At 38.2% G+C, this 12,403-nt stretch overlaps 1 pseudogene across 1 annotated transcript in view; it reads right to left on the minus strand.

Annotated features, from left to right (window-relative positions):
• Positions 1 to 12,403, minus strand: part of OFCC1 (orofacial cleft 1 candidate 1 (pseudogene)) — a 506,631-nt pseudogene that overhangs the window by 127,975 nt on the left and 366,253 nt on the right. Inside the window, exons 8-9 of the transcript NR_170155.1 lie at positions 9,564 to 9,684; positions 7,285 to 7,562 (exon numbers count right to left, since the gene is read on the minus strand). The product of NR_170155.1 is annotated as an orofacial cleft 1 candidate 1 (pseudogene) (transcript). The remainder of the gene's footprint in view (positions 1 to 7,284; positions 7,563 to 9,563; positions 9,685 to 12,403) is intronic.

Genomic DNA, 12,403 nt, shown 5'->3' on the forward strand with positions numbered 1-12,403 from the left:
GGAAGACGAAGTGAAGACACACAGGGAGAAGGCTATGTGAAGGACTGGAGTGATGGATCTGCAAACCAAGGAATGCCAGAAGCTAGGAGAGAGGCAGGAGCAGGCCCTTCCTTCGCAGCCCCAGAGGGAGCATGGCTCTGCCAGCACTTTGATGTCAGGCTTTTGGCCTCCAGAACCATGAGACAATAAATTTCTGCTATTTTAAGCCACCAGGTTTATGGTATTTTCTGATAGCAGACTTAGGAAACAAATACAGTATCCTTAGTCAAAAATGTATTCATTTGCGACACCTCTGACCCACTCTTGAATAATAGGTTAGGTGAGTACATTTTTTTTCTTTATCAACTTTGTCTTAGAATTTTGAATATATTTTTCTATTGTCTTCAGTCCTCTACTGTTGCTGTCTGAAGTTTCACTAGAATGTGTCCAGAAGTGGACTGATTTTACTTTGTCCATCTCAGAATTTCTGTTCCCTTAATCTGAGAGTTCATGTCTTCCAATGAGTCTGGGAAATTAATAAATAACTGTTAATCCCTTCATATCTTTCCCTCGTTCTAGCTAGTCTCTGTTCTGGAAATTGTATAATATGTATGTTAGACCTTCTCTGTAATCTTTGCAAATCACTACGAATCACTTTTCACTTCACTTTTTTCATCTCTTAGAGGTGTAGTCTAGGAAGTTTCCTCAGATCTGGCTTCCAGTTCAGAAGTTCTTTGTTCAGAGGGTCAAATCTCTATGATAAATATTTTTAATTTTAAACACTATATATTTTCTATTATAGAAATCCTACTGTAGATTATTAGGAGAAACAGTATTTTAAATGAAACATAGAGAAAGATAAACTTTTTATTTCTCCAAAAAAGATTTTTTTCTTTTATCTCCATCTACTGGACACATTTTTTGTCTATCTATCCCTTTTAGACACATTTTGAGTATCCAAAATTTATGGAAAAGGCTCTTTCAACACCCTATACCTAAAAGGCTCAAAGCCTCATCTCCTGAAAGGTCGCTAAAATCCAATGTTTGAGGTGAAGGAAGCCCTAAGTACCCTGATTGGATCATTACACACTGTGTGCATATATCAAAATATCACTTGAACCCCTAAAACATATACAAATATTATGTATCAATTAAAAATAAGTACATAAAAATAAAAAGGTAAAAAATGCAAGCCAAAAATGAATCCGAACCTTAAGATCAACAAGACTGATTATATGTTTTCCCCTCTCCCAGGCAGCAACAGCCCCAGTTTACTCATTTTCCTCTCTAGTTTTTAATTTCCTCTTCATTCCTGGTACCCAAGGAGATCCCATTCACTGTTGAGTGTTTATGAATTTAAAATCCTTTTGGTTATATCTTATCTAGAATTTCCAGGTGCTTATAGAACAAAATCAGAAAATAAAATATGACTTTTGGCTCCTGATCCCGGCAGGATGGGAAAATAAGATAACCTCAACACTTACGTCATCATCCTGCCAGAACTGAAAGTCACAAGGCTTATTTTGGGGCATTTTTCTTCCCAGAGATCTAAGCCTATTCATTGTTAATGAACACCATCAACAAAGGAGGCAATGTTTTCTATTTGAAATAGTTCCGGGTTAAATGTCAGAAGACAAGTAGGCTCCAAATGTCTCTGCCAAAGAATTATTCAAAATCTTTTTAGCAAGATACTCAAAGCGAATGTGCCTAAGCTTAGAGTCCATAATTTAACTTGATTTAATATGATTCTTACAGTAACTCAAATAAGGGAGTTGCTATTACCTCATTTTACATGAGGAGACTGAGATAGAGACAAATTAACTCACCGTATTTGACCAGCCCCACCTTACAATACTGGAAGACCAACATTACGATGTAGAGTTATTTGGGACAAGATCCAAGTGATAGTATCTGGAAGTGGTGCTTTGGTGTCTGGAGTGATACACCTTTGGGCTTACTCATATATCCACAGCTTTCCTCAGGAGCCATCTCAAATACTTATACGTAATCCTTCCACTTAACCTTCATGTGTTTGCCTCCTAGCCCGGCCTGATGCCAAAGGAAAGCCACCCTTGATGCTATAACACTGTAACCTCATTCCAAGATCCATTAAAAATGTAACCTTACAGATGTATACAGTGACTTTCCTCCTCACAGTCAGTACTTCACCTGGAATGAAGCCCTGCCCATTCATTTGGGTAGTGCTTCTCGGCTCTTTCTTTTTGCACAGGAATACATAACCATCGCTCTCCAATTAGCATTCATAAGATGCTCTGCACTCTCAAACGACATTATGGAAGCCAATTTCTCCAACTCACGGACTGAGAATAAAGATAAACCTGTCTTAGACTTGTATTTAAAATGTAATGAAATAAATATCTTAAATGTCCCTATATCATTTATATATACAGTGCACATGTATGTGTTTGGTGAATTTATTCCTGTTATTACAAAACTACATTGCTTTAAAATGTACTGTTTTAACTGTCAGTCTCCCACAAACTACCAGCAGAGTGACGGGCAGGCAGAATTGTGTGGTTAGTGAAAAAACCTGATGTTATTGAGTAGAGCCCATTGGAATGAATAGGACTTTAAGCAACAGCATTTTTATTCTGAAAGCAAAAAGCCTCAGTTGACTTCTCTTTCCTGTCAAGTTCTGGATGTTTTGGTGCTTTTCTTGTGTTTGTTTTCACCCTGAATTTTGTACTTTTCTTATATACACTGAATGTGAAATAGCCCAGTGTATTTCTTTGGGGATCCAGGATTTTGCTAGGTGATACCAAGGGATAGATGTAATTCAGTGACATTTTGTCAGGCTGTTAAAGAGTAAATTTTCCTTGACTGTGGCAGGAGGTAATTATTTTTTGTTTGTTTGCTTGGTTCTGACACAGGGGAAAAAATTTGGGGGTTGCTATTTCAAATAGTCCAAGATACTTTCTGTTCTGTTTGGCAGGAAGGGAAAACACATTTTATTATTGGAGCGATTGCCAGCCTTCACTTTTCCCTACCGACTTGATGCAGTTTTTAACACTCTGAACATTTTTTCAACTTTTAGTTTAAGTTCTGGAGTACATGTGCAGGATGTGCAGGTTTGTTACGTAGGTAAACATGTGCCATGGTGGTTTGCTACACAGATCAACCCATCACCTAGGTATTAAGCCCAGCATATATTAGCTATTCTTCCTGGTGCTCTCCCTCTCCCCGCACCCCCGACAGGCCCCAGTGTGTATTGTTCCCCACAATGTGTCTATGTGTTCTCATCATTCAGCTCCCCCTTATAAGTGAGAACATGCGGTGTTTCGCTTTCTGTTCCTGCATTAGTTTGCTGAGGATAATGGCTTTCAGCTAGATCCATGTCCCTGTAAAGGACACGATCTTGTTCCTTTTTATGGCTGCATAGTATTCCATAGTGTATATATACCACGTTTTCTTTATCCAGTCTACCGTTGATGGGCATTTAGGCTGATTCCATGTCTTTGCTATTGTGAATAGTGCTGCAGTGAACATGTGCTGCAGTGCATGTATCTTTATAACTGAATGATTTATATTCCTCTGGGTATATACCCAGTAATGGGATTCCTGGGTCAAATGGTAGTTCTGCTTCTAGGTTTTTGAACATCTTGCAACCTCAATCTCTTAGTGGTTCTATCCCCTCTCCCTGAAGATGTCTGTGATGCACTTCTTAATCCTGTGATCCCTCCTGGCATTTTATCTGTAGTATACCCTGTTACAATCATTCAACAGCTCACGTGGAATGTCTTCTACCTACCAAACATATTAATAGATGTGGCTTACACTCTAATGTTCCTACACAATGGGCATCTAAACAAATAATAACAATAATGAAAACATTCTATATTGCCTTTTGATGTAAATAGTTATTTATGCAGATGGCTCTCAAAAGCAATCTCTTTGAATGATATTTTTTGTAGCCCAGCTCCATGCTTTAAAATTTTAGGCACTTGATTACAATGCACCAAAATAATGTGACTGCCCATTAGGCTGATGGCTGATTGGACCCTTTCTAGAAAATTATTAATGAAAATTCTTAGCTACCACCACATTCCTGAAATTTCTTTGAGACCAATGGTGAGGACCAAGTCCTCAGTTCAGGAGCTGACCAATACCTGATGCCTTTGTGGTGCCCGTCCTCAGATTCTGGTTCTGACAGTAAGTGGCTCCCCAGGGGAAAAATCATCTTCACAACCAATTGAGACTAACAACCCTCACCTATACTCCAGTATTCTTAACAAGGCCTTTAGGATCCTTTATTGAAGAAAAAAAAATTACTAACCTACATTGTTCTCAACAGAAGTTTAATTTGAAGGTTATCTGATGCTGGCAAGGTTACGGGGAATGTGAATGCTTATACACTGTTGGTGGGAGTGTAAATTTGTTCAGCCTCTGTGGAAAGCAGTGTGGCAATTCCTCAAAAAAATTGAAATCAGAATTACCATTCAACCCAGCAGTACCATTACCGGGCATATACCCAAAGGAATATAAGTCATTCTACCATAAAGACACATGCACGTGTATATTTAGTGCACCACTATTCACAATAGCAAAGACTTGGAATCAACCTAAATACCCATCAATAGCAGACTGGATAAAAAAATGTGGTACATACAGCATGAAATACCATGCAGCCATAAAAAAGCATGAGACCATGACCTTTGCAGCAAGATAGATGGAGATGGAGGCCATTATCCTACTTAAACTAATGGCAGGGAACAGAAAACCAGATACCACATGTTCTCGCTTGTAAGTGAAAGTTAAAAAACAAGAACACAGGTTGACAAAGAGGGGAACAACAGGCACTGGGGCTTTCCTGAGGGTGGAGGGCGGCAGGAGGGAGAAGATGAGGAAAAATTATCTTGGTATGCTTAGCATATGGGTGATAAAATAATATGTACACCAAACTCCCATGATGCACGTTTACCTGTATAACAAACCTCCCCATGTTACCCCTGAACCTTAAATAAAGGAAAAAAAAGGTTATTTGAAATATACACATTTATCATATTAATTTAAGAAAAATTCCAACAGGTAAGAATTTTTAGGCTTCACTAACAAAGAGACACCATAATTATAACAACAATAATACAAGAAGCTTCTGAATTCTTACTGCGTATTGGCACTGTGAATTTCCGCAAGCGTCAGCTCAGTCATTTTTCACATGCCTCTCGTAGGCAGGTATTGTTGTACCTATCTCACAGACAAGCCAGCTGAGGCTTGCCTAGTTTCTAGGTGAATCTTATCAAAGGTCTCTTTTCCTTTACGAAGAATTCTTTCCCAGAAAGAGTTTTAATGCCCGTTTCAAAGAGAGGGCTGGTGTCTCTACTAGTTCTCCAAACTGTCTGAAGCTTGAAGTGGATATGGATTAGGGTTAAACTGTGATAAGATTCAAGATCTGCTACCCCGAAATATTAAGCAGGAAAGCTACTCTCACCTTCCCCTCACCGCTCTTCCTTGAGGCAAGTCATAACACCTAGAAAGTTCACTTTCCTCACACTTCTCCCCGGAAGTAGGTCATAAGATCCTCATGTGAGCAGTACCCTTCCCACACCCAGAGGAAAGAAACTAAACACAGACAGTCCAAGAAGGATCTGAACAAATAGCCCTTGCTAAGTTCCCCCAGTTTATTACCATTAGGTCTTACTTTTTTGTCCTCGAATTGTATTTCACCATGATTGTCCACTCTTCATCAAACCTAAGTATAAAAATACACAAGCTTATCTACTTCTTTGGATCTTCATTTATAACGTCTCCCATGTCATGTAAGACTTCTATTACAAAAATGTGCATGCTTTTCTCTTGTTAGTCTGTCTTTTGTTATAGGGACCTGAGCCATGCCTCCTGTGGTGGGTCTGGAAAGAGATCTTTTCCTCCCCAAGAGCTGCAACATTCACTAAACGTCTACATAGCATCTGGCCTTTTTGTTTGTTTGTTTTGATTGCTGTTTTTAACCCCTATCAACTTCTAAACAACGAAGTGGTCATCTGGGACTTCACACATTATTCAATGGAGTGGCTTCTATGGACATTATATACTTTTTCCATTTCTTACAATTCACTAGGAAGTTGCTGCTCAGTTAAAAAAAAAAAAAAAAGTAGTAGTCACTGTCCTCAAGGGTCTTCGATATGTAAAAAGCCAAGGTGGTGAGAAATGAGGGTTGAAATCTGTTTCTTTCTCACATATTGGAGGTAAATAACAGCAGCATACGTTTGTTGTTTATAGATCTTTACAAAATTGTTCATTTTTACAGCTTCATTTTTCACTTACACTTTTTTATGTGGTCATTCAGTAGCCAGAATAAACACAATACATTGTCTGAAAAATATGTTCATGTGAAGAGCATATTACCATCCTTAGTGAAACACCGCAAAATAAAATTGATGAAAAGAATATCTTTTCACACAAGACCGAAGGGAAAATGAGGAAAGAAGGTACACTCCTATTTTAAAGGAAAATTATTTTCTTCTTAAATATCACGATTATAATTTTTTTTAAGAAATTGATGTTAATAGTGTAAAAGGCAATTTAAATTTGTGAACAGTCTGTGCCATACCTAGCATCCAAGCCATCTGCATGAGATGAGCCCCTCTTCTTCATTTTCTCTTGGGCTGGAGCTCCCTGGGAGGCACAATCCGTCCAGTCTGACATCCCAAAGAAGCCCCTCCCTGTTTCTCCAGGTAACCTGATGCTCTCTGACCCACCCCTAACACTTCCCACCACCCCTGTTTTAATCCCTGCATCCAAGATCACTTTCTAATTGTACCCACCGATTCCTTTCCTAGTACTGTCTCCTCTACAATTCCTTTGTATGGTAAACACATTCCCTATATCCATCATATATTTCCTGAACAGTCCCACCAACGACCTTCTGACCTACCATCTGGTTCTCACCTCAAATCAGTGACCCTCACTTCCTCCATGCATGCACATGCATTACTTACAAAGTACACGTCAGTGATCTCTCAGCTTGCACAATCTGAAAAGGGGGAAAATTATATCAAGAAGCCATAAAGTATGTTCTTGATATATAAAAATGACCTTTCCATTTTACACAGGATTTAGGGTTTCTACCTATGGACTATATAATGCTTGGCACATAATGGTTGATTACTAGGAATTTGCTGAATGAATGAATGAATGAATGAATGTAGGCATGCATTAAATCCTTTATGTTTATTACACAAAGTATTTTATCTAAAGTGACATGAACAAAGATAGAAGGTGGAGATAGATAGGAAGAGTGGAGAAGCTGAGTAAAAAGAAGAGGCTAGATGTAGACAGGCTACTTACCACATAAAGGTTTTCGTGGAAATACACCCCCACATCATAAAAGTTTCCATTGTGCCTGACGGAGTGTTTTCTGGTCTTTAGTTGCTCCGTTTGCCACCACTGCAAGACACAGCCTCCCAGTCGACCAAGCAGGGACACTTGGACACTTTGAGGACATAAGAGCCTGGAGGAGCCTTGTCTTTAAGGCCCCTCAGGCATCTGATCTGGATTTGCAGAGGCTGAGGTGGTTGAGACTGCTCATTTTCCACAAAAGGTGGGGTTCTTGAATTACGCAGGAACTGGGTGAAACCACACAATTAGCAACAATGGGCTTCTCAGGGGGGAAAAAAGTAGACAATTATTTTTATCCAACCTGTAATTGTCAGGTATTACCAATGATAACAGATGAGGACAGAAGATATATAATTAGGGGGTCAAAAGGCAAACCTGCCGTTGATGGGAGGGAAAGTTTAGCCTTTTTTCAGCATGGTATGTTAATGATCTGTGACATCAGAAACCATTCACCTATTATAGTAAGATAGAATTAACAGGAAACCAACACTTCTAAAAACCACACAGCATGCCTTCTAAGATATCTCGGGTGGGTGAACATGGGCAGTAAGCTTCAAATTTGGAGTCTGAAAGGTGACAGTCCTGACTTTAACACTAACCACTGTCCATAATGCCACGTTGAGCAGAGTGCAGAACAGGTCAGACTAACACCTCACTTGATCTGATACTTCCAGAGTCTCAACATGATGTCAACTTGCCTCACAGGCTTCAAAGGAGAGTCAAAAATGGCAGGGGGAGGGGGTGGTGGGATAGTATCTGTACGTGCCCTTTCCTGAAATTTAGCACGAATTGTGTGTGACTGAGAGACATGACTCAGGAATATTTTACAGGGCATTTGAATTTCATTTTTCACCTACAGCTGAGAGAAGCAGGTCATTTTCATTTTTAATAAGTGCTGAAAACTTTATAAACACTGATAAGATTTTTAGTGGACTATTTTTTCAGAATAAACAAAAACTAAACTATGATTATTATTAATAATAACTCAAATGTAGTGAAGTCATGTTTTCTATACTTACAAGTCCCTAATATTTTTCAGAATTATTTGACTTCAAAGGATCCTGTAACCTTGTACTTCAAGCAAAAATAATGTCCTTTTTGGAAGCAAGTTACTACTGTCTTGGCAACCCAAGTTAGTAGCACCACCAGTTAATCTGCAGCCAACAGTAAGCATTTTTTAATCCTGCCTAGACTTTAGTTTGTGGGAGATAATATATATTTCCATATAGATAGTATGCTTCTGGAATTAAATTACAGTTAAATAAACATTGAAACTTGTTCAGCTTTCTTTGTTTTTTTTCACACAAATCATACTTAAAAACTAATCGGAATAACAATTATTTTTGGCTTAATTAGAAAATCTTAATTAACAATAAAGACTTAACCTTAATATTTTGGTTTCCAAAAATATTTTAAAAATTAACAACATGTGAATAAATAAGACAATCTTTTTAAACCTCAAGGCAGGATTACTGATGCAGGCAGAGTGAGTTATTAAACACATTCTAAATTAAACGCCTCTATGAATTTTATACTGAAATATATTGTGATAGTTTTGCATGCCAAATGTGACATTTTGTATTTCAGATTCATCTTCTGTAGTAATTTTGGAAATGTCATACAAACAAAGATTTTGTCATTTACCAGTGGAATTACTATGCATGGCCGCTTAGCCATCTCTTCACTGGTTCTCGTGGTTGTTTCAAGTCAGCAAGCCATAAAAAATCTTTATCTCTCTGAAACACAGCAATTTGGAAGATAATCGAATGGTGACTAGGGGGCAGAAATGCCAGTCTGAAGAATTATACCACAATCTCTCTTGCATTTACAACCTTCCTCAAAGCGAGTGTCAGCCAAGTAGGGAAAGGAGACAGAAGATTCATCAAATCTCAAGCCTCGTCTCATTTGCATGGTGGCAGGCCTGACTCATTGTCTAGTGGGATGGAGCCTGGCCTTACTGACAACCTGTTTTGAGGAATTTTAGTAGCTTTGTCGAGTTTTTAGCCATTCTATTTCAGCATAGAATTCTCATCTATCTATCTATCTATCTATCTATCTATCTATCTATCTATCTATCTATCTATCTATCTATAGAGAGAGAGAGACCTGCTAAAGTTTCTCTAAAGAGTCCTACAGGAGAAAAAGCACAGCAGGCAGCTGGGTCAATACAATTGATCTCATCGTTTAACATTTTGCATCAGAGAAAAAGTCAGTGGCAAGAGCCTCACCTTCCAGCGGGGTCCTGCTGCTCCCTTTGAGTCATTAGTTACTTCTGTGAGGGTACCAAGCTGGGCTGCACTGTCCTTTTTACAAATATTTAGGTCTGCAATGAATGGTTGACTTGGAGTTCTGCAGCAGTTAAAAAAGAAAGAAGATAAAAGAAAGAGAAATTGACAATGGAGTGTAACAAAAAGGTTTGCCTTTAGACTCACGACACAGTTTGATGTTTTCCTTAAACATTTTGTCAGACTAGCTAGAAAGTAGGTAAACACCACATTACAGGTGCTGCAATTGATTCAAATCGACGAGGTGAGTGGCTTCTGAGGTGTGGCCCTATATAAAGTGAGTGGCTTTTAAGAGATGTGGCCCTATAAAACATAAGACTCACTGCATCGGCCACTGATCTCTCAAGATGTCACTTGCTTCAGAAATCATCAGATCCAATATTCGATAACACTTTTTGCCACTTCACTTCCTATCCTCTCTCCCTTCAATAGACTGTTAGGGAAACTTTGAGGGAAAAAAATCCATTATATAGATGATTAGCTGATATAACATAAAGTTTTTCTTTTTTTAATGCAGTGCTTAGAGATCAAGATCTATTTTGACTCTCGAAATGTTCCCTAGGCTTTTTTCCTCCTATTAACATTTACTAACTGTATCTTGAGGTTCTTCTTTATTGTTGACTCCTTTTTATTTTTGTTGTCAGCTTCTCCAATCCTGAGAGTGTTCTTCTGCCTTCCCAAATTCATTTGAATTAAGAAGGATCCACATCTCACATCTCCTGACTTAAGCTTAATTCCATCAGTAGGGCCATCTGTGACAACGACTATACCCTCAGCAGAGGAATAGCCTTTTTGGGTCTCATTGCTGATTTAGTTGCCTGTGATACAAATGATTTCCCTTAATTTGGTTAGAGTTACACTGACACAAGGGTTCATTAGGACACCCATTTGCTGGCAATTCAATTTCAAATTAAATACACTTTGTTGTAAATTTTATTACTTTTAAACTACTGAATCTATTGTCTTTAATGGTCCTATTATACAGTTATGAAGGTAAACAGATTTCATTAGTAGACATCAAAGATTTTATGTTAACCACAGTGAGATGATTTCCTCAGTTTCTTTCTTTGTTCCCTTAGCAAGAATTGTAAAGCACTTGGAAATGTTCTAAACACTTAATCTAAATAATTAGACACTAAATTCATGATTATAATCCAAAAGATAAAAAGAAAAAACACAGTTCCTGGTTAGAATCTCAGTTCTTTGTAATTAAAGATTTTCTAAAAATACCTTCCTTAAAGTGAGAAAGGAGCACAATGCACATTGAAAGGTTAAGTCACAGCTGTAACCTGATACCAGGTACCCAGAGACAAGTTCACGGATGTGTGTCCCCTTGGAGAAGCCATATTCTAGGTCAGGAACCAGATCTAGGCATCAGTTCACTTTTGCATTAGGTCCTAAGGCATGTTATTACTCTTGTTTTCTCTCTTCTAGAGCACATCTTAATTTTATAACTGTGTATGTGTTTGTGTGTTATTTAAAAATGTTTTAATTATATTAAAAACCACCATCACCACCCACAAAAAAAAAATCACCCATTAACCTACAGCCCAGAAATAACCACTGGAAAAATACTGGCTTCTATTCTTTATAGCTGAGTTTAGCAAGGCACACTTTTAAAAAAAATTTTTCTTTACATAATGAGACTGATGCTATGAATAATACTATCTTTTAAATTGTATTTTTTGCTTTGTATGTTATGGGCATTTGCCATAAGAGTATTATTTTTTTTTTGCTAACATATAATTTTTAGGTATTATCTAGTATTCTAGGCATCTACCATAATTTATTTAAATGATCCCTTATCATTGGATATTTAGGTTAGTTCCTATTTTCACTATTGAATGTTAGCCTGTAATGAACTCTCTCACATATAAAGTCTTGTAGGTATCTTAGTATCAAGTCCTATCATTGGAAATGCTTGGCATAGGAGGCATGCTGTTCTCCATCTCATCTCTGCCTTGAGCTACCTAATCATTGAAGCGATGCCTTAGTGATACATAATCCTGTCTGCACAGCCTATTCTCTCAGACACTAGATAATCCTCACAGGGAGACAGGTCCAGTTCCAGGTGATATCTTATTTGCACTGATGCTAGGGTTAGAAGTTCAAGAAAATGTCTGTGAGTAAGCAGCACTAACGTACTCCCAACCTGGCACTATGGACATTCTGAATCAGATAATTCTTTGTTGCAGGACTGTCTGGCACATTGTAGTATGCTCAGCAGGATTCCTTGTCTCTACTGACTAGATCCCACTAACATCTACTGACTAGATCCCACTAACAATCAAAAATGTCTCCAGACATCGCCAAATGTTCCCTGGGGCAACACTGATCCCTGCTGAGACCCACTGGTATACAATACTAACTAGTATTTATTGAATGCTGCATGCTCAAGGCACTCTCTCAAATACATTGCATTTCTTATCTGATTTAACCCTTAAAATAATCCGATATGGTATTCTTATTTCTGATTAACTGATGAGAAACGGATGCTGAGGGATGCTGACTACCTTCTTTTAACTATCATAAGGGTAGAGGCTGAGATTCAAAGTGAGACCATCCAACTTGAGAACTGTCCCTCACCCTGCAACCTGCTGCTTCCGCATCTTCTATACATGAATGTAGGAAGGGCAGCTGCCAGATCCAAACCTGAAAAGTTCCCGCACTGAAACAAGGATTTTGATATTTTCTAGGAGACAAGTAAGATATAACTCCCAGCTGTATTACCATTCCTGTAATGCCCCATTCCGAAATATCATATAGATGAAGGGGCCCAAATG

The sequence above is a fragment of the Homo sapiens genome, chromosome 6, assembly GCF_000001405.40.
Source record: "Homo sapiens chromosome 6, GRCh38.p14 Primary Assembly".
In the NCBI taxonomy this organism is placed as follows: Eukaryota; Metazoa; Chordata; class Mammalia; order Primates; family Hominidae; genus Homo; species Homo sapiens.